The sequence below is a fragment of the Homo sapiens genome, chromosome 7 (assembly GCF_000001405.40).
Source record: "Homo sapiens chromosome 7, GRCh38.p14 Primary Assembly".
Classification (NCBI taxonomy): Eukaryota; Metazoa; Chordata; class Mammalia; order Primates; family Hominidae; genus Homo; species Homo sapiens.
In genome coordinates this window covers 150,334,853-150,359,959 of record NC_000007.14, presented here as the reverse complement: position 1 = coordinate 150,359,959, position 25,107 = coordinate 150,334,853, and the positions used below count along the sequence as shown (strand labels likewise).

General features: G+C 48.1%; 2 protein-coding genes and 1 long non-coding RNA gene across 7 annotated transcripts in view, besides 3 other annotated features; 1 reads left to right on the top strand and 2 right to left on the bottom strand.

Moving 5' to 3' along the window:
- Window positions 1–1,813: 1,813 nt before the first annotated feature.
- LOC107986858 (uncharacterized) lies at window positions 1,814–18,115 on the bottom strand. The gene is made up of 3 exons (XR_001745420.3): window positions 17,623–18,115; window positions 16,319–16,432; window positions 1,814–2,661 (listed from the first exon to the last, which is right to left on the bottom strand). It is a non-coding gene; the product is annotated as an uncharacterized LOC107986858 (long non-coding RNA).
- Window positions 12,093–12,325: a silencer, noted in NCBI's record as "fragment chr7:150044724-150044956 (GRCh37/hg19 assembly coordinates)". NCBI's record gives its function as "represses an EF-1alpha promoter that drives an FKBP-Casp9 reporter gene in an ReSE screen in K562 erythroleukemia cells {active_cell/tissue: K562}" and the evidence as "EXISTENCE:reporter gene assay evidence [ECO:0000049][PMID:32094911]".
- Window positions 18,116–18,330: 215 nt separating the features above from the next.
- On the top strand, window positions 18,331–21,631 carry RARRES2 (retinoic acid receptor responder 2). Of its 2 annotated transcripts, none has more exons than XR_007060121.1 (6): window positions 18,331–18,382; window positions 19,331–19,524; window positions 19,756–19,860; window positions 20,879–20,974; window positions 21,203–21,345; window positions 21,521–21,631. XR_007060121.1 is itself a non-coding variant. In NM_002889.4 (6 exons), exons 2-5 carry the CDS (start codon window positions 19,351–19,353, stop codon window positions 21,333–21,335), a joined length of 492 nt encoding a protein of 163 aa, NP_002880.1. In that variant the 5' UTR covers window positions 18,331–18,382; window positions 19,331–19,350; the 3' UTR covers window positions 21,336–21,345; window positions 21,521–21,631. The 2 variants fall into 2 exon arrangements, 1 of the variants encoding a protein (NP_002880.1); NM_002889.4 differs by having other exon boundaries at window positions 21,219–21,345.
- Window positions 19,223–19,292: a silencer, noted in NCBI's record as "silent region_18774". NCBI's record gives its function as "represses an Ori minimal core promoter by ATAC-STARR-seq in GM12878 lymphoblastoid cells {active_cell/tissue: GM12878}" and the evidence as "EXISTENCE:reporter gene assay evidence [ECO:0000049][PMID:35858748]".
- A 172-nt stretch (window positions 21,632–21,803) lies between the features above and the next one.
- Window positions 21,804–25,107, bottom strand: part of LRRC61 (leucine rich repeat containing 61) — a 28,658-nt gene continuing 25,354 nt past the window's right edge. For all 4 annotated transcript variants that reach the window (NM_001363434.1, NM_001363433.1, NM_001142928.2 and 1 more), the window contains one exon: window positions 21,804–23,242. In NM_001363434.1, the coding sequence (NP_001350363.1) occupies window positions 22,319–23,098 (780 nt within the window). In that variant the 5' untranslated portion in view covers window positions 23,099–23,242 and the 3' untranslated portion in view covers window positions 21,804–22,318. The remainder of the gene's footprint in view (window positions 23,243–25,107) is intronic.
- Window positions 23,206–23,500: a silencer, noted in NCBI's record as "tiled region #1750; K562 Repressive non-DNase unmatched - State 15:Elon". NCBI's record gives its function as "represses a minimal TATA promoter and a strong SV40 promoter by Sharpr-MPRA in K562 cells {active_cell/tissue: K562}" and the evidence as "EXISTENCE:reporter gene assay evidence [ECO:0000049][PMID:27701403]".

The following is a 25,107-nucleotide window of genomic DNA, read 5'->3' as shown; positions in this document are numbered from 1 at the left end:
GTGTGATGGGTTGTGTGTGGTGGATTGTGTGTGTGGTGGATTTTGTGTGTGTGTGGTGGGTTGTGTGTGTGGTGGGTTGTGTGTGTGTGGTGTGTGTGTATGGTGGATTGTGTGTGTGGTGGGTTGTGTGTGTGTGATGGATTGCGTGTGTATGGTGGATTGTGTGTGTGTGGTGGATTGTGTGGTGGGTTGTGTGTGTGTGGTGGATTTTGTGTGTGTGTGGTGGGTTGTGTGTGTGTGGTGGATTGTGTGTGTGTGGTGGGTTGTGTGTGTGTGGTGGATTTTGTGTGTGTGTGGTGTGTGTGTATGGTGGGTTGTGTGCGTGGTGGACTGTGTGTGTGTAGTGGATTCTGTGTGTGTGGTGGGTTTGTATGTGGTGGGGTGTGTGTGTGTGGTATGTGTGTATGGTAGATTGTGTGTGTGGTGTGTGTGTGGTGGGTTGTGTGTGTATGGTGGATTGTGTGTGTGTTTGGCGGATTGTGTGTGTGTGGTGGGGTGGATTTTGTGTGTGTGGTGGGTTGTGTGTGTGGTGGATTTTGTGTGTGTGTGGTGTGTGTGTATGGTGGGTTGTGTGCGTGGTGGACTGTGTGTGTGTAGTGGATTTTGTGTGTGTATAGTGGATTCTGTGTGTGTGGTGGGTTTGTGTGTGGTGGGGTGTGTGTGTGTGGTATGTGTGTATGGTGGATTTGTGTGTGTGGTATGTGTGGTGGGTTGTGTGTGTGGTGGGTTTGTGTGTGGTGGGGTGTGTGTGTGGTATGTGTGTATGGTGGATTGTGTGTGTGGTGGGTTGCGTGTGTGTGTGTGGTGGGTGGCTGTATAAAAGAGTGAAGTTTCTTTTTGTCTTTGCCGTCTCTTAGTGGGTTTCCTGTAATGTGCATCTCACTCTGGTTTAATGGTTATTCAAGAATAAAGCCTTTATATCTCTTCTATTCTTGTGGAGAGGTTTTCTGGGTCAACAGGACATTTTGTTTTTAATTGTATTTCCCCACCGTAATATCCACACCTCAAAATTCTTAGCTTAATCACATGTGCAAAGTGCCTTTTGCCATGCAGGGTCATAATTCACAGGTTCCAGAGATTAGGACCTGGATATCTTTGGGGCTCTTTGGGGCCCTTTTTTGAGCCTACGAAGCCCCTTCGCCTACCCCATCACCTTCTAGCCCCTACTCAGCTATATTGTTCATAGCATTCTCACCTACCTGAAATTACTGATTCATTTATTCACTTGGACAGTTTTTGTCTAGTTCCCACCACAATAGAAGCCACACGAAGGCAGGGATTTGGCCTGTATTTTCACCACAATATAGCCAGTCTCTAGAAAGGTGTCTGTCCCATGGTGTATTTTCACCACAATATAGCCAGTCTCTAGAAAGGTGTCTGTCCCATGGTACACATTCAGTAAGTGTTTATGGTTAAAATGAATGAGCAAATCTAAGCGCAATCCCATGGTTAAGCTAATTTGATTAGACCACACTGAATTGCCAATGCATTATACAGCAGGGTGAACCAATTTTTTTTTTTTTTTTTTTTAAGAGACAGCGTCTCACAATGTTACCTGGGCTGGACTTGAACTCCTGGACTCAAGCATTCCTCCAGCCTCAGCCTCCTGAGTAGCTGGGACTACAGGCAAGAGTCCCCCGTACCCGGTATGTATGTGAACCAATTGTTAGCAGTAAATTTCAAACTGTTTTCCCTTGGCTGCTGCTTGGCAAGCAGGTGATGAGAGTCTGGTAGAACCTGCAGTGAGAGGAAATACCACCTTTTCTTAGAGAACGATTTAAATCGGCATATAAGTGAGGCAAAGAACAAAAACTTGGAAGAAAGGTTGTTTATAATTCTCTTCCTTGAAGGATTGCTTATAGCTAGCAGGGCCTTAAATATACGCTTTTTTCAGGAACAGTATTCCAGTTAGGATAACTGGAACGGAGAAACCTTTAGGGCGCCTCTTACGCCAAGGAGGACACGATGTGGTGAGTCACCTGCTGGTGGGAGGAAGGCGCTCCGCTCCTTGCTGACCACTCTTACCACTGTGCCTCTTGGTGATTTGGTCTTGGGGACTGCACACTGCCAGCAACAATCTGCAACAAATCGTCTTGGTGCCTCAGTCAAGACAGGACATGCTCCACTTTAATTAGAAATTTGCTGTGTTACTGTTTTAAGGTCAAATGTCATTTATGATTACAATACTGTGTCTCTTTCTACTCCAAACTGGTATCAGGTTTTATCTTCAACTTCAGTCAGAAGATGAATTTAGAGCCCAGGTGTACCTGTTCTTGGGTTTAACATCTGCTAACATCCAAGCTTCATTTGGAAATGCAAGGAGATTCTGAACAGACTCTGCTAAGTCTGTGATGCGGCAGAAGCAGGCGTGTTGTCAAGTGGTAGTTTCCTGTCGGTGGCATGTGGGGGGGCGGTTTATGAGCCATCTGTGCACATTTGCCAAATCACTGAAATACCACCGCTAACCTCGGCTCACTCCTGCCCAGACCCCTTTCACATGAAACCACTCGGTGACTTGGAGGAATCAGAGTGTAGACCTGGCTTCAACTCTTTACCCTCTCATCTGCTTCCAAGACCGAATCCGGGTCATGGTTCAACTTGATGTCTTCAGAGTTGGCCAGGAAAGTCCCAGATGCCTCCTAACTGGGTTGCCTTCACTTTCTTAAAACAGGAGAAGAGAATATCCTCTTAACGGGATTTAAGAAGGTTTATCTTTGGAAATTATTAGCAATTAAAACAATGTCACATGTTTACTACATAATGTTCTATTAAATTACTACATTCTATAAATAATATACTAAATTAAATTTTAATATACTAAATCTTAGTATATTATTAAATATACTATATTATGTGTAATATGATAATATACAATATATTATTGATATATTCAAAATACATTGAAATTAATATTAAAAAGAACACTTGAAAAACATTTAATTTCACAGCATCTAAACTACCCTAAGTGCCTTCCACTGGCTAAGATTCCACTCATTTTCTATGACCTGAGCTGGTTTACGGTTCTAACAAATAGGCACATGGCATATAAAACCAGTGCAACAAATTGGCATGATTTCTGGTTAGAATGAAATTAGAAGTTCTTTTTACTTTTTAATATTTTTTAAAGGCAGTCAAATTTAGCAGTGGAAGATTGTATACCAACTTTAGTGACACTAATGCGAATCAATCCTGATAACTCAGTACCAGCCAAGAAGTTCTGAGGATGAAACCACAAATCAACACGGGATGATGGAAGTAGGTAAGAAAAATAATTCCACAGCATTGTTACTTGAAAAACTATAGAACCCCCTAAGTTTAAAGAGCAACGGACATGGGTTGTGCTCGGCATCTCCATCTAGTGGTAGTTTTTTTGTTGGTTGTTTTGTTTTTGTTGTTTTTTTTTTTGAGACAGGGTCTCACTTGCCTTGCCCTGGGGTACAGTGGTGCAATCATAGGCTGGGTTGCAGTGGTGCACTCATAGCTCACTGTAGCCTCCAACTCATGGGCTGGGATCCTCCTGCCTCAGCCTCCCAAGTAGCATGCACCACTATGCCCAGCTAAGCTTTTTTTTTTTCAGAGATGGAGGTCTTAACTATGTTGCTGAGACTGGTCTCGAACTCCTGGTTTCAAGTAATACTCCCGCCTTGGCCTCCCAAAGTGCTGGGATTATAGGTGTGAGCCACAAGCCCTGTTTATAGCAGTGTTCATCCATTCATCAGGGCAGAGTCCTTATGACCTAAACACCTCCCATTAGGCCCTAACTCCCAACGCAGTTGCATTGGAAATTAAATTTCCAACACATGAACTTTAGAGGACACAGACCATAGCTGGGTTTGAACATATGAATTTGGGAAGGATATAGTTATGGGCTAAATTATGTCCTCTCCCCAAAAATTGTGTGTGTGCATGTATATATATACATAAATGTAGTAATTTGTCTTTCTAAGTAACTCATAGATTCTAGTTAAACATGGTGGATTAGATACATATGTTTATCCCCACCCACTCCTGTCGCATTTGCCATGGTGGACTCAGCTTGTGCACTAGGCCTCAACAGACCACATCAAAATGGAGTCATTCATGATAAATGTGACATAATCAAACTGAAACTTCAAGGAAGCAGATAGTTCCTAAGACAGACCAGGTTTTGTTTTTCTATTGTAAACAGGAGATTCCAGCACAAGGAGGTCCCCTATACTCTCACCTTTACCCACCTTAGAAAACCCACTGTTCTACTATTTCCCAGTAGGATTTGGGACCAAATAAGTACATTTATGATGATGACAGGGTGACATTGATGCCTAAAGTTTTGAGACGTTGACTAAAGAGGGAAAATCATTAAGTTTAGCCCAAAGCTGCCTCCTTATGTGTTTTAAGTTCGGCCTAAAGGTTTCTCCTCCCTAGTGAACAGTGAGCTAACTGGATGTGTAAACAAACGATAACCTACTCTTGTGCCAAACACCAAGTTTCAGCCAATCAAAGGCAACCAACTGTTCAAACCAGGTTCACATGAGGCAAACTCGAAGCTGCAACCAATCTGGCTGCTTCTGTGCCTCACTTCTGTTTTCTTTCTGTCACTTTCCTTTTTCTGTCCATAAATCTTCTTTGGCCACATGGCAGCTCCAGTCTCTCTGAACCTATTCTTCTGGTTCAGGGGCCACTGGATTCACAAATTGTTCTTTGCTCAGTTAGCTCTGTTAAATTTAATTTATCTAAGGCTTCCCTTCTTTTCTTTTCTTTTTTTTTTCTTTTTTTTTTTTTTTTTGAGATGGGGTTTCGCTTTGCTGCCCAGGCTGAAGTGCAGTGGTGTAATCACAGCTCACTGCAGCCTCAATCTCCCGACCTTAAGTGATCCTCCCACCTCAGCCTCCTGAGTAGCTACAACTACAAGCATGCGCCACCACGCTCAGCTAGTTTTGAAAAAAAAAATTTGTTTTGAGACAGAGTCTCGCTCTGTCGCCCAGGCTGGAGTGCACTGGTGCGGTCTCGGCTCACTGCAACCTCCACCTTGGGTTCAAGCGATTCTCCTGCCTCAGCCTCCTGAGGCACGTGCCACCACACCAGGCTAATTTTTTTTTACTTTTAGTAGAGACAGGGTTTCATCATGTTGGCCAGGCTGGTCTTGAACTCCTGACCTCGTGATCCGCCCGCCTTGGCCTCCCAAAGTGCTGGGATTACAGGTGTGAGCCACCGTGCCCAGCCTGAAAAATTATTTGTAGAGATGGGGTCTCACTATGTCGCCCAGAGTGGTCTCCGGCCTCGGACTCCCACAGTGTTGGGATTGCAGTGCGAGCCATGGTGCCTGGCCGAGTTTTTCTTTTAACTCTCCTAAAACCCCATTAAGACAATAGCAAAGGAATAAAAACATATAAATTCACAAGGAGAAAGATGGTGGGGAAGCAATGGTGGTAACAGACTGAGCAGAGCAGAGTCCCTGCAGTGGGGTGCGGCAGGGGGTAAGAGAATTGAATTGATTGAACCCTGAAAAGGCTCTGAACCAAGAGACACAAGGTGCAGGAGAGACGGATGAAGCTGGGGACACTGGAGAATGCCCCCTCAAATGCTCCACCACTGCAGGAGGCCAGAGTGTACTCTGCAGGAACGGAACAGGTAAGGGCGAAAGGGTCATAGGGGGAGGTAAAGTCAAAGTCTCTGTGCTAAATGGTGGCTCTCAGCCTCCTGACCCCACTTGGCCTCCAGAACACAAACAGCCTGGTGGTGACAAAAGCTCTGAGGATTCTTTTTTGGAAAGACTGTACAGGCCCAGAGAAAGGACATGCAGGTAATACTGACATTTGGGATCATTTAAATAAACAAAAAATCAGCCTCGCTGCATGATCACCCTGCAACACAGCCCACCAATTAACAGGGCCCCACCTTCCTATGAAGCTTTCAATCAGGCTTTTTAGGAATGATTCCAACGTGAGAGACCAAAACCACAGCTGAAATAAGGAGATGAATGGAACTTTAAAAAAGAAATCCTATATTTATACGATGGTATTTTAAAACTAGGAATAAGCTCCTAAAACGGAAAGAGCTAGGCCAGGCGCAGTGGCTCACGCCTGTAATCCCAGCCCTTTGGGAGGCCGAGACGTGTGGATCACCTGAGGTCAGGAGTTCGAGACCAGCCTGGCCAACACAGTGAAACCCCATCTCTACTAAAAATACAAAAATTAGCCAGGCATGGTGGCGCAGGCCTGTAATCCCAGCTACTTGAGAGGCTGAGGCACAAGAATCACTTGAACCCACGAGGCGGAGCTTTCAGTGAGCCAAGATCGCGTCACTGCACTCCAGCCTGGGCACCAGAGAAAGACTCCCTCTCAAAAAAGAAAAAAAAAAGAATTCTAGAAAGAGAAAATGGAGAGAAGGAGATTGTCAATGAAATAACATAAAGACATATCCTCCAGCTAGAGAACATGAAAGTGCTAACTGAGAAACTGTCAATGAAATAACATGGAAATACATCCTGGAGCTAGGGAGCAGGAGAGTGCAAACTGAGGAAGCCCACGGTTGCTGAGATGAGGAACAGCATGGGACAATGTACAGACAGGCCCCTTCCAATCAAAGGGCCAGGAATCAGAACACCTGACTTCCCTCCAGAAGCCCCAGATGCTGGAAGACAGTACAGCTGGCAAAATCCCAAGGGAAGATGATTTTTCAACCTAGAATCTTACCCACGAAGGATACATATATATATATGTATGTATGTATTTTTTTTTCGAGACGGAGTTTCACCCTGTCACCCAGGCTGGAGTGAAGTGTGGCACAATCTCAGCTCACTGCAACATCTGCCTCCCAGGTTCAAGCGAGTCTCCTGCCTCAGCCTCCCAAGTATCTGGGATTACAGGTGTGCGCCACCATGCCTGGCTAATTTTTGTATTTTTAGTAGAGACGGGGTTTCATGATGTTGGCCAGGCTGGTCTTGAACTGCTGAGCTTAAGTGATCCACTCGCCTCAGCCTCCCAAAATGCTGGGATTATAAGCGTGAGCCCCCACACCCAACAAAGGCTATAATTTAAACATAAGGTAGAATAAAGATATTTTCAGACATGCAAACGTGAGCATGTATTCCTTTGATGAAAATAAAAATTAATTTTTATTAAATTAACATACACACATGTTAAAAACAAAAAACAAAAAAACTCGGCCGGGCGCGGTGGCTCACGCCTGTAATCCCAGCACTTTGAGAGGCTGAGGCGGGCGGATCACAAGGTCAGGAGATCGAGACCACATGGCTAACATGGTGAAACCCCGTCTCTACTAAAAGATACAAAAAAATTAGCCAGGCATGGTGGCGGGCGCCTGTAGTCCCAGCTACTCAGGAGGCTGAGGAAGGGGAATGGCGTGAACCCGGGAGGCGGAGCTTGCAGTGAGCTTGCAGTGAGATCGCCCCACGGCACTCCAGCCTGGGTGACGGAGCGAGACTCCGTCTCAAAAACCAAACCAAAACAAACAAAAAAACTCAAGCATTTCAAAAGGAAGTAAAAAATAATTTCAACGATAAGACATTCTGGTAAAGGAAAACCTACAGAAACAGTAAAAAGACCAGTGTTTGCCAGGGTTTTGGGGACAGAGAGGGATGAATAAATAGGTGGAGCACAGAGGATTTTTAGGAGGGTGAAATCATTTCCTATGATACTGTAATGGTGGATACACCTCATTGTGGAATGTGCTACAGGGACCAAACTCTAATGTAAACTGTACTTCAGGTAATAATAATCTATCAATATTGGTTCATCAATTTTAACAAATTTACCAAACTAATGCAAAATGTTAATAATAAGAGAAACTGGGAGGGCAGTGGGGGAACGAGGAACCCTCTGTACTTTGTGCAGTTTATTCGTAAACTTAAAACAGCAGTAAAAAATAAAGTCTATTTTAAAAAGAGAAAAAAAGGACGAAAGTTTCCTCCTCCCTGTAGTCCTCCAGTTAGCCTTGCTAGAGTCTGCTGTTCTTGCAAGTTCCTTGTAAATCTTTCCAGAATTACTCAATGCGATGTGCAAGCATGTGCATACATTCCTATTTTTTACACAAATTGAAACATAGCACATTGCATATGTGGCTTTATATCTTTCTTTCTTTTTTATTTTTTAGAGATGGAGTCTCGCTATGTTGCCCAGACTAGAGTGCAGCAGCTATTCACAGGGGCGGTCATAGCACACAACAGCCTTAACTCCTGGGCTTCAAGCCATCCCCCCGCCTGTCTCCAAAAGTGCTGTAATTACAGGTGTGAGCCACCATGCCCAGCCTAAGCTGATTTTTTTTTTTTTAATCATGGAGAAACGTTTGATAGTCATGAAGTCAAATTCATCAATCTTTTCTCTTATGGCATTGGGTTTTGTATTATACTTCCCCAGTAAGAAGTTATTAAGCAAACAAATGAATAAAATCCTCAAGTTGTCATCTGGTACATTTAATTTCATTCATCTGGAATTTATTATAGTGTAAAAAGTGAGGCAGGAACCAACATTCATCATTTTCCTCCACAAGGCTAGCCGTATATTCCAACACCGTTTATTGGCTAATGCATCTTTTTCCTAAAGATTTGAAATGCCACCTTTATCACATATTAAATTCCCATATGTATTTGGATTTATGTCTGAGGTTTCTATTCTGTTCCATTTTTTTGTCTATTCATTTGCTAATGTCACTGTTTTCATTTTAGATTATTAATGCATTTTAACATCAAATAGGCTATCTGGACATCTAAGAGGTCAACATTATTTTTATCTTCATACTTCTGTTTATTCTTGCTTGTTTATTTTTCCATATACATGTTAGAATCAATTGTCTTTCCTTGTTAAATTTAAATATTAGTTTAGGAATGATTTACATTTTTATTTATTTTATTTTTTCCTTTTCAGACAGAGTTTCACTCTTGTTGCCCAGACCGGAGTGCAATGGCGTGATCTCAGCTGATCGCAATCTCCACCTTCCAGGTTCAAGCAATTCTCCTGTCTCAGCCTCCCAAATAGCTGGGATTACAGGTATGGGCCACCACACCCGGCTAATTTTGTACTTTTAGTAGAGACAGGGTTTCTCCATGTTGGTCAGGCTGGTCTCCAACTTCCCATCTCAGGCGATCCACTTTTCTTGTTAAATGTATATATTAGTTTAGGAATGATTTACATTTTTATGATTTTTTTTTTTTTTTTTTTTTTTTGCCTTTTGAGACAGAGTTTCAGCCTTGTTGCCCAGACTGGAGTGCAATGGCATGATCTCAGCTCACTGCAACCTGCGCCTGCCAGGTTCAAGCAATTCTCCTGTCTCAGCCTCCCAAAGTGCTGGGATTACAGGTATGAGCCACTGCACCTGGCCACATTTTATGATTTGATTCTATCTATTTAGTCAAGGTTTCTTTCATATACCTTAATATTATGTTAAGTTTTTAAATATTCTTTTTGTTGTTGTTAGTTTTTTTAAATAGTCTTTGTATTTTTTTACTAAGTTCATTCCTAAGAACTTAACCTTTTTTTATTATTGTAAATGGGGTTTTAAAAAACTATATTTTCAGCCAGGCACAGTGGCTCACGCCTGCAACCCCAACACTTTGGGAGGCCAGGGAAGGCAGATCATTTGAGCCCAGGAGTTTGAGACCAGCTTGGGCAACATGGTGAAACTTCATCACTGCACAAAATACAAAAAAAAAAAAAAAATTAGTTGGGCGTGGTGGTGCACACCTGTAGTCCCAGCTATCCGGGAGGCTGAGGTGGGAGGATCACCTGAGCCTGGGAGGTTGAGGCTGCAGTGAGCCATGAACACATCTCACTGCATTCCTGCCTGGGCAACAGAGTGAGACCTTGTCTCAAATATATATATATATATATATATATATATATACATATATTTTTTTTCCAAATATATTCATGTTAGAAAACCTACTGATTTTGTATATTAATCCCATTTCCTATCACTTATTATTTTATTGTTTCCAGTAATTTATTCCTGTTAGTTCTCTTGGATTTGGAAGGTACACAGTCCTACCATTTGCAAATAAGGATACTTTTCTCACTATTTTTCTTTTTTTTTTTTTTTGAGACGGAGTCTTGCTCTGTCTCCCAGGCTGGAGTGCAACGGCACGATCTTGGCTCACTGCAAGCTCCGCCCCCTGGGTTCACGCCATTCTCCTGCCTCATCCTCCCAAGTAGCTGGGACTACAGGCACCCGCCACCACGCCCAGCTAATTTTTTGTATTTTTAGTAGAGACGGGGTTTCACCATGTTAGCCAGGATGGTCTCGATCTCCTGACCTCATGATCCACCCGCCTCGGCCTCCCAAAGTGCTGGGATTCCAGGCGTGAGACACCGCGCCCGGCCTTTTTCTCACCATTTTTCAAAAGAAATTTTTAATCATTGATTTTTCATGTCTGCCCAATTACACTGGCTAGTGTTTCTTAAAAAATGTAAAATGATAATAGCAATAGAAGACATCCTTTTCTTGATCCTGAATTTGATGAGAATGTTTATTTTTCATCATTAAGTATGTTATACATACATATAATCATGTTAAGAAGGTACTCATAATCTATCTTATCAAGAGCTTTTATTTTTTAATTAGCAGAGGATATTAAATTTTCTCAAAGGTTTTTTCAGCATCTTTGGCAATTATTACATGGGGTTTTCTCTCCTTGACTGATTAATGTGATATATTAATGGATTTCCTGAATTTCCTCTTTTCTAATTTACATTTTTAGTTTTATTTGTTCTTTCCTTTTCCTTACCATAAGTTTCATTGGTGGTTTTACTAGTTAACAATTAGCTTACTTTCATTTTGTCTTTCATTAGTAAAAAGAAAGGTATTTAATTGTACTTCTCAAAATACAGCTCATGGGTTCTAATATATAGTGTTTTCATTAATTTTCTTTGTTTGTTTGTTTATTTGTTTGAGACAGAGTTTCACTCTGTCCCCCAGGCTGGAGTGCAGTGGTGTGATCTCAGCTCACTGCAACCTCCGCCTTCCAGGTTCAAGTGATTCTTCTGCCTCAGCCTCCCAAGTAGCTGAGATTACAGGTGCCCACCACCATGCCTGGCTACATTATTGTTATTTTTAACAATTCTGCAACATGTTTTATTTCTTGTTTATGATCATGTTTATTTCTTCTTATTGATCCAATAATTATTTGAAAAAAGTATTTTGCTGCTTTTATTGCCAAGTTGTAGGATTTTTTGGTAAATTTTAGTTTTATTATTAATATCTTTTTAAATAATCAAGTTAATGACATATATAACAATCACATGCTGTGATTAAAAGTGGAACCTCAGGATTTCACATCAGAAAATGTCACTTTTCAAAGTCTTTTGAGGACCATCCTGAAAGATGGTAGATGGTAGCCATGGTTTCTGCACACAAGCTGTGGGCTTGCTCCTGGTAACAGACTTAAGTCTCATCATCAAAACATGGAAGCTGCAGCATATGGTCAGTTTCAGAACAATCCATGGGACAGAATTTGCTGTGCATCCCTCTTTATGTTCTGAAATTTACCTTTGGTAAATGAGCAAAAGGAAAGGCATTTTCCAGATTGCAAAAAGAAAGGGGGAAAAATGAAAAACAAAGAACAGGAATGAGCAGTCAGTCTTCTGAAGCGGAGAGTCCCAGGCCTCACCGCCAGTCTCCTGCCCCAGACCTCCCTGGGTGGCACACGCCTGCCTGCATCCAACCCTACAGTTTGCTGCTTTCCCCTGCAGTGCCCCACTTACTGTCTGCTTTCCTGTTGATTACTCCTCTCTTCTCTAAGTAAGACACAGTACGACACACCTCTGTCTTAGTCCATTTGTGTTGCCACAACAGAATACCTGAGACTGGGTAATTTATAATGAGCAGGAGTTTATTTCTCTTGGTTCTGGAGGTTGGGAAGTCCAAGGCTGAAGGTCCAACATCTGGTGAGGGCCTTCTTGCTGCATCACCCCATGGTGTAAGGGCAAAAGGAGGGCAAGACAGAGAGAGAGATTGAACTTGCAGCCTCAAACACTTTTATTTTTTATTTATTTTATTTATTTATTTATTTATTTTTTGAGACAGGGTCTCACTTTGTCACCCAGGCTGGAGTGCAGTGGCATGATCTCAATTCACTACAGCCTCAACCTCCTTGAGGTTCAAGGGATCCTCTTGCCTCAGCCCCCCAAGCAGCTGGGACTACCACTATGCCCAGCTAATTTTTTTTTTTTTTTTGTATTTTTTTTGTAGAGATGGGGTTTTACCATGTTGCCCAGGCTGGCCTTGAACTCCTCGGCTCAAGAGATCTGCCTGCCTCGGCTTCCCAAAGTGCTGGGATTACAGGCATGAGCCACAGCTTTATAATGGAATTAATCCTCTTATAAGCAGGAGCCCTCGTGCTCTAAATACCTCTCATTAGGCCCCACCTCCCAACACTGTTGCACTGGGGATTACGTTTCCAAAACATAGGCTGGGCACACCGGCTCATGCCTGTAATCCCAGCACTTTGGGAGGCCAAGGCAGGCAGATCGCTTGAGACCAGGAGTTTGAGACCAGCCTGGCCAACATGGTGAAACCCCACCTCTACTAAAAATACCAAAATTAGCTGGGTGTGGTGGCGTGTGCCTGTAATCCCAGCTTCTAGAGAGGCTGAAGCAGGAGAATCACTTGAACCTGGGAGACGGAGTTTGCAGTGAGCCGCGATCACGCCACTGCACTTCAGCCTGGGCCACAGAGCGAGACTCTGCCAGAAAATAAAAAGGAGGGAGGGAGGGAGGGAGGAGGGAAGGAGGGAGGGAAGGAAGGAAGGAAGGAAGGAAGGAAGGAAGGAAGGAAGGAAGGAAGGAAGGAAGGAAGGAAGGAAAGGGAAAGGAAGGGAAGGAAGGAAGGAAGGAAAAAAGAGTTTCCAAAACAAGTTTTCTGGGGAGCACATTGAAACCACAGCACCCTCCCTGGCCCTGGCTTCTCCCCGGACCCACCAGCTCTACCTTATTCCTTCTTTCCCTCTGCCCTCCATGTGCTTCTACACTCACTCCACACTGAGACAGTTCTTGCTAAAGTCACCGCTGGCCTCGCTAGGTCCAGTGCTTTCTGGCATCATCTTCCTAAACCTCTGGGCACACACTGCCAGCCGTGCCTCCTCCTCCCAACATCCCCTTCCCCACCTCTGTGACACCACATGCTCCTGACCTGCCACTGAGCTCCTACCGGCTCATCTTCATCCACCCACCCCTCTTACTCCATGTTGGATCCCCTCCCAGTGAGGTCCTAACCTCTTCCCTCCTCACCCTCCTACCGCCAGGGCAAGCTACTTCCTTCTCCAATCCCCAGTCTCATCTCTGCTCTGATCTCGATCTGCATGCAGATAACACAGTTTCCCATCTGTAGCCAGAGCTCCACCAGCCCTGTTCAGTCAACATCTCCACTGGCATGTTCCACAGACACCTCACACTTCTCTCCTCACTGCCCTCCTGAGTCTCTCTCTCCCTGAGGATCAAAACCATGTCTACAGCTGTTCAAGCCAGAAACCTGGGATTCACCCCTCTCTGTTGACCTCGACCCCAACATCTTATCAATCACCAAACCCTGGTGCTTTAGTCCTGAGGTATTTCTGGACTTTGTTTTCCCATCTTCACTGCCTCCAGTTTTGTCCCTGCCACATTCGTCTCTCACCCGGACAATCACAATTATCTCCTGCTGAGATTTATTCCCTTTTATCCACTCTCCACACAGCAGCCAGAGTAAGCTTTCAGAAATGCTATTGGGACCAGGCGCGGTGGCTCACACCTGTAATCTCAGCAGTTTGGAAAGGTAAGGTAGGAGGATCACTTGAGCTCAGAAGTTCAAGACCAGCCTGGGCAACAAAACAAAACCTCCTCTCTCCTGAAAAAAAAAATAATAATAATAAAAACTAGCTGGGTGAGGTGGTCCTGTAGTTCTAGCTACTGGGAGGCTGAGGCAGGAAGATCAATAGAGCCTAGAACATGGAGGCTGCAGTGAGCTCTGATTATGCCATTGCACTCCAGCCTGGGCAACAGAATAAGACTTTGTCTCAAAAAAAGAGAAAAGAAAAGAAGACAAAAGAAAAGCTGTTGCTTTGCTTTCTGATTTTAAAAGTATTAAGGCCAAGCACAGTGGCTCAAGCCTGTAATTTCAGCACTTTGAGAGTCCAAGGTGGGTGGATTGCTGAACCTAGAAGTTTGAGATCAGCCTGGGCAATGTGACAAAATCCTGTCTCTAGAAAAAAATACAAAAATTAGCCTAGGATGATGGCATGCACCTGTGGTCCAAGCTACTTGGGAGGCTGAGGTGGGAGGATCGCTTGAGCACAGGAGGTTGAGGCTGCAGTGAGCCATGATTGAGCCACTGCTCTCCAGCTTGAACGACAGAGCAAGACCCTGTCTCAAAAAATAGTTTTTAAAGTTTTTTTATATTTTAATAGACAAATTATCCACAAGTTATAAAAATTTAAAAGTACAAAGGGAGTACAGTTTTCCTGCCTCTGTTTTCCCCAGCTGGACAGATCCTCTCCTCACAGGCAAACACTGTTATAAGTTTCTTGTTTTTCCCTTCTAGAAATATTCCATGCATTTACAAACACAAAAATTTGTTCATTTTTAGTTTTAGTTTTTACTCACATAATTGGTAACACATGCTCTGCCTGCAATATCCAATATGGTAGCCACCAGCCACAGGTTTAGGAACACTTGCCATGTGGCTGGTGTGACTGAGGTATTTATTGGAATGCTAAAACAAGAGATTGATGCTTCCAATGTTGCTTCATTTCACTTTAGGGTACATATTGAAGATATTTGTGCTCAGTTTTCTGAAATTTATTCTATGCAAGTCTCATGGCTACAGCCATTAAAACTAATTCCGTATTTAAGTGGAAATGCTATGAATCACTGCTGGTTTTATGGAACTGTTGAAAGCAATGAAAGATAATGAATTTAATGATCTTTTCTTTACCAAAGCTCATTGTCAGGGTTGTAGAAGAGTTCTCCTAAGATTTACTGTACTTTTAACTAACTCCAAGATTTTCTTGAGACAGAAGCCATGATTACCAAATATACAACAATAAGTATTATTATTATTTGTTTTGGGGACAAGGTTTTGCTCTGTGGCCAAGTCTGAGAGTGGTGGCTTGAGCCTATAATCCCAACACTTTGGGAGGCTGAGGTGGGAGGGTCATGTAGTGGCATGATCATAGCTCACTGCAACCTTGACTTCCCAGGCTCAAGTGATCGTCCCCCGCCAGCCTCCTGAGTAGCCAGGACTACAGACTTTTGCCACCACACTCAGCTAATTAAACTTTTTTTTTTTTGTAAAGATAGCCTCTCTCTATATTGCCCAGGCTGGTCTTGAACTCCTGGGTTCAGTGATCCACCCACCTTGGACTCCCAAAGTGCTAGGATTACAGGCATGAGTCACTACTCTCAACCCAAATATTCAATAATTAAAAATAAAAAAGTCAGTGTTTTCTCACCAATACCACACTACATATAAATGGGCTAAATTTGAATATCCAAGGAGATGAAACCTCATTTGTGACCTAGCCAGATAAATATAAGCATTTCAAATTAAATATTTTCATAATACTGACAAATAATTACAATCTACATACTTTTGTCACAAGAATCAACATACAGAGGTTTTAATTGTAATATACAGCATTGTGTAAATTGGCAAAATTTCAAGAAAAATGTGAAGAATTCTTAGTTGATATTGATAAATTTAGAATGGCTTTTGAATTTATGCAATATCATTTTTGAATTTATGCTAATGGTACCGAATTGACACAAGTTGGAAAATGTACTTAACTTCAATAGGTGTAGTTTTGCAACTGATATGCTCTTACTTCAAAGTCAAATCACTTCTTCTAAAAAAAACTATTTTTGTCAATGTGGTTGCAAATATTAAAGGACAATGTTTTTTGGTACTCAGTTCAGTTATTGGAAAACTAAGCTTGGAACAACTGGATACGTGAGTCTACTTTTTTAGCTGTCATGACCAGGAAGATCATTAACCATCATTAAATAGTGAAGTCCTGTTGTTGCTCCCCTGGACTGGGACATGTTACCTGGAGCTGAGCTCATGAATATGCCCTAAGTAGTCCTTTCACACATCCACACCTATGAGTGCTCTGCAGTAGGACTGTCCACCTCTTTGGGGTGCACCTCACATACCTACACCCAAAGTGAATTTTGTGTGGCCATTTAAGTATAGCCAGACTGGCTCCTTCCTCACCAACTCCCACCACCCTGCTCCCAACCTACCTCCCCACCTCAACTGCCTCACCTCCCCTGCAACAGACCTGATGCAACTTTCCCCCCAGCCCCCACCAAAGTCAGGATGAGTTTCCCGCTTTGCTCAGCTCAAGTCCTACCTTGTCCTGGAAGATTTCTCTCCTCACCCATCCTCAGGACGTCCCCCAGCATGGGTCTGTGGGGGCCAAAGGAAAACTTCCCCTTTGCCTTCTGAAGGTTTGCTGAAAAATCAACTGATGAAAGGCAGATTAATAGAATAAATTGATTCATTTATATTTTAGAGACAAGGTCTTGCTCTGTCCAGAGAGGCTGAAGTACAGTTTCATGATCAGAGCTCACTGCACCTTTGAACTCCTGGGCTCAAGCAATCCTCCTGCCTCGGCTTTAACAGGAAATATTTATTAACATACATGAGAGAGAACCACAAAGTGATTACCCCAACCCCTCAGTGGGATACAGAAGCTTATCCACCATCTTGAGTTTATACAAATATGGGGGCTCAGATAGTGGCAAGACAGGTTATGGAAGGGAGGGAAGAGGAGGCCTGGTTGGCAAAGGGAGTCTTGTTAGGTAGATGACACCTCACAGGTAGCAGCCCTCAGAAAGAACTGAGGGTAAATGTTTCTTTCAGATCTGTAAAGGTGTCAGCCTCTCAGTTAATCTTTCCTAGAGTTAGACAAGGGAGAGCCTCGGAGAAAGCCTGGCTACATCAATGCAGATTTCCTCTACAGATGCAAATCTCTCCACAAAAAGACAGCTTTTTGGTTATTCTATTTCCAACCATTCTGAACAGCCACCTTGAAATGTGTCAAAGAAGTATTTTTTGGGGTGAAATATTTTGGTTTCCTTCAAGTTCTTGGGCTGGGAAACATCTTTGGGTGCATCTTTTCTCTCTAACCCCATCTAAAGCTTTCAGGGAACACGGATCCCATCTCTTTCTGCTTAAGGGCGGCTGAGTAGCTCACAGCTGGGGAGTGAAGTACCCTAAGTAGTGGTGGGATTTCAGACACCTGGAAGTGGTTAATGGAAGCCGAGTTTCTTTCTGGTGCCCCCAGAGCACACTGTAAAGGAAATTCTCAGCTCTAAGTGGAGAATCCTGGTTAGGGGTGCGTAAGTAGGGGACAAAAGCCTTGTGCTCGGCACTGGACATCAGTTGCTTTTCATGTTTCTTCATTTAATCCTCAAAACAACTCCTTAAGACAGAGTTTCTGATCCCCATCTTACAGATAAAGAAACAGAAGTTCAGAGAGAGCCATGAAGTTACATGAGATCCTCTACTTCAGGTGATCCCTGCGGTGTGGGAACCAGAGGCATGGTGTTGGTGGTTACTGACGTGCAAAGTCTCAGAGCTTCTTCATCCTTGCTCCAGCGTACCCAGGAGTCGAGCCGGTATTTGGACAGTTTTCCTTGAGTTTCTGCTCACCTTATGAATTCCATCATGCCGTTCTGCCACACCCGAAGGCTCCCCCACTCCCCATGAGAATCTATCCCACGGAGAATGGGGCACGAGGAATGGTCAGGAAAGGCAGATGCAGGATACACACTGGACATCTTTGCTGTCGATCAAGGTTGCAGGCGCCAGAGTCCTCCCTAAAGGAGAGACCTTCCTTCTCAGTGTGGCTCAGGGAGTGGGAGGCAGGATCAGGTGTAGGGACCTCGAGGTCTCATTTGGTTTGAGAATGTCTGTATTTAGGGGAAGAAATCCCAGGATGAGTGTCTCAGGGACGCTGGGGAATGGTCCCCCGTAAAGGACCCAAGACAGGGCAGCCCTGCCTGGGTAGGAGTGGGGCACAGAAAGTCCTTGGGGGAGCAGAGCAGCGGAGAAGAGGCCCGGGCCGGCCGAGGCTGCGGAATGCTCAGGCCCGAGCCAGAGGGAGGTGGGACCGAGGGCTGCGCGCCTGGGCGAGCCGCCTGCAGCCGCGGCCAGGGTCAGGGTCATGAGGGCTGGATCGAGGGGAAGGAGGGGGGTGGGATGGGGAGGGAGGGCGCGGGAGGGCATCCCGCCCCAGAGGCCGGTCCCACTGGGGAGGGGAGGAGCCAGAGTTGCTGGAGGGGGTCCAGGAGGTGGGGGTGGGAGGAGGTGGGGGCCGCCCCGCGAGAAGAAGAGCGGGAAGAGGCGGACAGCGAGGCCAAGATTTCAGCTGCGGGACGGTCAGGGGAGACCTCCAGGCGCAGGGAAGGACGTGAGGAGGGGAAGCGGGCTGGGGCGGCAGCCGGGCGGAGGGGCAGCTGCGCAGGCGGAATGAGGAACGCCTTTGCTCTAAGGCGACCACCCTGGCAGCTCTTCACTGAGGGGCCTCGGTTTCCACATCTGTCGCTCTCCGGTCCCAAGACCACCAGGACCGACGGGGCTCTCCGGGAGGGTCAGCCCCTCCGGTGGCCCCAGTCATGCATCAGGGGACGGATCAGAAGGGCTAGGAAGAGGGGTCGTGGGGAAGGCCCCAGAAAAAAGAGGAAGGAGGGAAGATTTTGCCTGAAGCGGGAAAGCCAAGGGCTGGGCGGCGCGAGACCCCCATTCCTAGCGACTGGGGCTGGCTGGTGGCCCGCGGCAGCCCCCGCGCCGGGAGGATTAGGCCTCCCGCCGCTCCCACCCGTCCGGACCCTCCCACGTGTTTAGGTCCTCCCAAAAGTATTCGGCCTCCGGCCCCTGCCCCTTCCCCCGGCTGGCCTGGACCTCGGGGACGTGGGGGGAACCCCGTGGGAGCAGGGGGATTCTGGACGGGGAGGGAGTAGCGGTTGGGGAGAAGGCTGAGCGGGGAAAGGAGAGAGGGGCTCCGGGGACGGCAGGGAGGAGAGTGGGTCGTGCCGGAGACCCAGGGAGAGACACAATGGGCAAGATTAGGGGTGTAGGGTGGGAGTGCGAACTGACTGATTCCTAGCGTGGGCAGGGAACTTTGCTAAAACTGCAGGCCCCAGGGAACAGCGCGGGCAGGGTGGGAGGGAACGGAGAGGGCCAGGCGGACCCTAAGGTCAATTTGGAGAAAGGGCCATTTCCAGGCTCCTTCACCTGTGCCCAGCGTTCTACAGGCCTGGACCCCGCCCCCGCTCCCCACCCTCCCCCCAGAGCAGGGCGCGGGAGGAGGCGGCTCGGGCTGGCTCGGAGAGCTGAGGGGCGCACACCCGCTTCGCAGGGCCAGGGTGACACGGAAGCATGCGACGGCTGCTGATCCCTCTGGCCCTGTGGCTGGGTGCGGTGGGCGTGGGCGTCGCCGAGCTCACGGAAGCCCAGCGCCGGGGCCTGCAGGTGGCCCTGGAGGAATTTCACAAGCACCCGCCCGTGCAGTGGGCCTTCCAGGAGACCAGTGTGGAGAGCGCCGTGGACACGGTGAGTAGCATGGCCCGGGCAGGAGCGGGGAGGGTCGTACCCCAGGAGACCAGCGCATTCCCACGAAGGGGGACAGAAGTGCTTGGGCTCTGAGCCCCAGCCCTTTGGAGAAAAGGCCACTGTCCAGCCTGCTGGAATGTGACTGCGTGAGGGAGGTGCGGATCACACCAGGGCTTGCTCTGCACCCTCAGCTGGCTACCGGCCATCCTCTGCCTGCCTGTCTGTCCGCAGCCCTTCCCAGCTGGAATATTTGTGAGGCTGGAATTTAAGCTGCAGCAGACAAGCTGCCGGAAGAGGGACTGGAAGAAACCCGAGTGCAAAGTCAGGCCCAATGGGGTGAGTGAAGGGGTGTGAGAGCAATGGGCGCATGCTGGGTGTGAGTGCATGGACTTGGGGTTTGGGGTGTGGGGCACATGCCTGGGTGTGCATGCATGAATTGGGAGGTCCATTAAGAAGCCCTGAGGTTAGAGACCCCACTGCGAAGAGCCTCCTTAGAGGTGGAGTGGCTCAGCCTGAGCCCAAGGTTGTGAGAGTGGCTGGTGGGAGCTGGGGCCTGGCAGACAGGAAGATGGTTTGGTTACCCCTGGACTTATCTTCATCAGAGCAGGGCTCACCTCGGTCTGAGTTCCTCTCTCAAGCATCAGGGCCTGGGTGGAAGGAGCCGGCTGTGTGGGTGTGTCTGGTGCCCCCCTAGCCTAGCAGGACTCCAGTCATCAGTCACGGTGGGGGCAAACCTTCCACCGTGGGGGTGATGCCTGGGCTGGGAGTGCAGTGACTGTGTTCTAGTTCCCGCTCTGTGAGCACGGCCTGGGCTCTGTATTACAGGTTCTGCAAAGGCCCCAGTTCCCTCTGTCGGCTCAAGGAGGGCACTGGACTATAGCAATGATTCATCAACCTCAAAATCAAATCTTACAAGAAAATAAATAGAATAGGTGACAGCTGAGCCACTCTGGAGGCGTTGGGTGGGAAGAACCCATCGGAGGAGGATTCTTGCCTTCACACGAGCACAAGCAGACACATCCATGCATACATCACACACCCATCCACCCACACTCCTGCATACAAACCACATACATGCGTGTTTATGCATGTGCCACACAACCCATCTGGGAAGGACTCCTGCCTGCACACACATGAAAGTTCCATAGTTTGAAAACTGCATGGGTCTGACTTCTGACATTCTAGGGTGGCTGTGCCTGAAACCTGCTGGCCTGCATGACCTCTTGCTCCTGGGCTCGAGGGCCTAGTTGGGGATCTGGTCCCATGATGGGCAGCCCTGGCTCCCACCCTCATGATGCCCAGGCCTCCCTCACCCTTTTCCTCTGCTCACCCCATGCTCCCCGCTCCCCCACAGAGGAAACGGAAATGCCTGGCCTGCATCAAACTGGGCTCTGAGGACAAAGTTCTGGGCCGGTTGGTCCACTGCCCCATAGAGACCCAAGTTCTGCGGGTAAGAAGGGGCAAGGGTGCACAGGTGGTGACAGGGCTGGGAAGATGGATGGAAGCTGAGCCTATGGGCTGGTCTCGAGGCTAAAGCTTGGCCAAGCAGGAGGGAGGGCAGTGGGGGCTAGAAAGCGCTGTGCCTGTTTGGACATTCTCCAAGGGATGTGGAGGGGATGTGGAGGATGCTGGCAGCCCTCCACTGGCACTGCCCACCCCTCCTACACTGCCTGAACAGTTTTGGGCACTGGCAGGAGGCTGAGGAGCACCAGGAGACCCAGTGCCTCAGGGTGCAGCGGGCTGGTGAGGACCCCCACAGCTTCTACTTCCCTGGACAGTTCGCCTTCTCCAAGGCCCTGCCCCGCAGCTAAGCCAGCACTGGTAGGCACCAGGGGGCTGAGAGCACCGTCTGGATGAGGCCAGCCCTGGGAATGCTGAGGGGCTGGGCTGGGCTTTGGGAGCCTGGGAGGGGACAGGTCAGAAGCCTGGGAGGAAAGCTGGGACTGGGGCTGAAGCAACCTCCCTCACCCCCAAACCTGTTTCCCCTTTTGTCTAGAGATGCGTGGTGCCTCCAGGACCGCTGCGGGTGGTAACCAGTGGAAGACCCCAGCCCCCAGGGAGAGGAACCCGTTCTATCCCCAGCCATGATAATAAAGCTGCTCTCCCAGCTGCCTCTCAGCTCCTTGTGTTGCACGACTTCCTCCTTAGCGTAGCTCAGAGGCGGCCAGAGAGGGCAGGGGGACAGGACCCTTCCTCTGGGACCCCTTCCTGTGGGCAGGGTGAGCAGAGCCTCCTGTGCTCCAGAGCCAGAGGTGCCCCCATGAAATGCCAGGCAGGGATGCAAATGAAAACAGAAGCATTTAATAGATGTGTGGACAAGAACGGGCAGAGAAGGTGCTGCGGGGAGGGGGTAAGTGCAGGAGCAGTCTGGAGAGGCACATTTGCAAGGCAGGGGAGTCCCACTTCCAGGAGTGCTCTGGGCCACTCAGCCTGCCTACTGTCTCCCAACAGCTGAGACGGGAGGCTGGCCCATCCCTACCTTTCTCGCCTGTAGCCTCAGGAGGAAGTAATTCCTTCCACTAAGTTGCAGGCTGGAGCAGCCCAGAGTGGCAGCAGCTGCGGACACAGGCTCACGGATGTGGGAGCCCTTACACCTGCTCACAGCCCTTCAGTCTGTCCTTGCAGCATGTGGAGGGATGGTGGGGAGGGGCTGCTCTCAGGATAGGGATAAAGCAATAGCCCAGTGTGCAGGGCCAGTGACCAGTGTGAAGCAACTAAGACGAGTGTGGGGGCAGAGAGGGGAACTGGGGGCAGCGAGGCCACCTGCCAGGCTGTCCTGGGCCATAGGCCACGTTCAGAAGACGAAGGAAGAGGTGGGGCCCGCAGAGCTGAGTACCTGCTCCGCCTGGGCCAGGCTGTCGCTGGCCTGGCGGTCCAGGTCCCAGCACTCCTGCAGTGTGTCCTGGAACTGCCGGCAGGCCTCCTCCAGGATGGAGCTGCTCCGGCTGGGCCAGGACTCCCAGTAGCCTGGCTCCACCCAGGGCTGGGCCTCGGTGGCTCTGGGGCCTGGACTGGAGCTGGGACGCAAGGAGCTGTCCAGGTCTCGGCACAGCTGGTAGAACTCACTACCACGCCCAATCACACGCTCACCGTCGATGACTTTCAGGCCAGGCAGCAGCTCCCGGACTGCAGCCCAGTAGGAGGGGTTGGCACAGAGCGGGTTGCTGAGCCGGGCCAAAGGGTCTCGGAGCCGCAGGTACTCCAGGCACGGTAGCCCAGCCAGACACTGCAGCTGGCCCGGGGTGGCCAGTAGGTTGCCTGCGGCATTGAGACTCTGCAAGTTCTCACAGGTGGCCAGTGGCTCCAGGCCCGTCAGCCGATTGTTGGAGACATTGAGCACAGCTAGCTGGCGCAAGGAGGCCAGCGGGCCCAGGTGGGTGAGCGCGTTGCCTGATAGGTCCAGCCACTCCAGGCCCAGGCACTCTCCCAGGCAGCCCAGGTCAGCCAGTCCCAAGCCACGCAGCTTCAGTAGCAGGATGGACTCCAGGGAGAACTCGCCTGTGCGTGACTTCAGCAGCTGGGGTGTGATCTGCAGTCCGCCAGCCTCTCCCGGCTTCTCCGCTGGAGGGTCCATGAGATGGAAGTCGGTTGGGATGGCCTGGGCCCTGGCAGGACTGTCACAGGGTTCCACTGGGGGTCAGCTGGTGCTCGCCCTGGCTCTACCCAGGCCAGTGCCAGGAGGCCTGGTTCCGATGCCCTGCTCGAAGCCAGCCAGTCCCTGAGGAGAGACAGTCAGTCAGCAGGCAGCACTTTCTGTGTCTTACGCAGCAGGTGACGGCAGGGAGTCTGACCCTGCTTTTACCATGAAAACCAACAATCTCAGCCAGGCAAGACCTGAAGACCAAGCTGGGACACAGGCCACAAAAGCCATCTGAGTGACAGGGATGGGGTGCAGGCCCAACCCAAGGGGAGCAGCCCAGACTGGCCCTGGCTGGTTAGGGCCATGCTGGATGGATTCAGGCCCAATATTACCAGTTCTTCCTGTCAAATCCAAACTAGGGGCAAAACATTATTTTACTTTTTCCGTAACCACTCACGATCCATCCCTATTAGTTTTGGGGTGTTTTTTAAACCGTTATTTTTGAATAGGCAATAGGTAACCACCATCACCAGTTTCTTTTGTTTTCTTTCTGGGATAATCAATGTATATGCAATGCAAACGAGAGCACATGTGCCTTGTTTGATTCACTCAGTATTACTGCAATTCTTTCTAACAGCAATGAATTCAAACTTGTTTCCAGATTATATGGGTCAGCTGGTACCTCTGGTTGGAGCTGTAGAGCATAAGAAGTTGGCCTTTAGTCCTGAAGGAGAAAACTGAGGTCAAGGTAGTGAAGGGACAGGGAAGGCTGGGGTAAGTGGCCTGGCTAGGTCGCACACCCTTGCTCTCACTTCACTGCCCGCCAAAGCTAGCTCTTTTGCTCTGGACTCAGCTGGACAGATCAATGGAACAGCACTGATATACGTGCCAGACAGCACGGTGCCAGCTGCAAAGACAACATAAATTTCCCAAAGGGCAGGCTGTCTTGGAGGGAGGGAAGGGTGGCTCCAGAAAGCCGGGAGGGGCACATCAAATTGCCAGGGGCTGCAGGACCAGGTGAGTCCAGGTGCCAGCGCATGACTGTGGCACAAAGCAGGGGTGGCCTGGTGGAGGGACCTCAAGATTTAAGCAGTGAGGAAAATAACAGACCTCTTCCAAGCGCAGCTTTCCCAACCTGGCAGACTTTGGCCAGGCCCAGACCCAGGAGTCTCACCCAGGCCGGCGGGGTGATGCCTGCCCTGCAGATCTGATGCAGGGTGTCGGTGACTGAGTTTACATATCAACACTTTTCATTTTCCCCTCTCCAAGGAAACCAGGCCCAGAGCCTGATCCACTTAGCTCCTCCCACACCATCAACAAAGATATTTACTATGTTCCCAACCAGGGAGCTGGCGAGGATGTAAACGGTCTTGCCATCCTTATGTCCTCTACACCCCATCTGGAAAGGGGAGTCCTTGTGCTTATGGCCCCCATTTCCTTATCTAGCTCCCTTCTAGTCTGCAACATTCCAGCTCATTCTCTTTTATTTATACCTCAAATATTTATATATACTTTCCAAAAGAGACTGGAAGCATCTGCCAAGAAGTGTGGATTCCCTCAGTGGGAATGGAATCTTTTGGGGTTTGTAAACAGGGAGTGATGCAATCAACTTTGCATTTGATTAAAGCTGCTCTGGCCCCTAACGTGGGGGGTGCAGGAGGAGCACCAGGCACTAGAAACCTGTCTGCTGTGAAAACAAAAGATACAGGCCCTAAGGAGGGCAGGAAGCAATGGGGAGGAGGAAAAAGAGCCTAGGACGACTGGGGAATCTTGCTGGGTGACTGTATGCCAGGGGCTCCTTTTTTTCTTTTTTTTTTTTTTTTTTGAGACAGAGTTTCACTCTTGTTGCCCTGGCTGGAGTGCAATGGCACAATGGCGCGATCTCGGCTCACCGCAACCTCCGCCTCCTGGGTTCAAGCGATTCTCCTGCCTCAGCCTCCCAAGTAGCTGGGATTACAGGCACCCGCCACCACCATGCCTGGCTAATTTTTGTATTTTTAGTA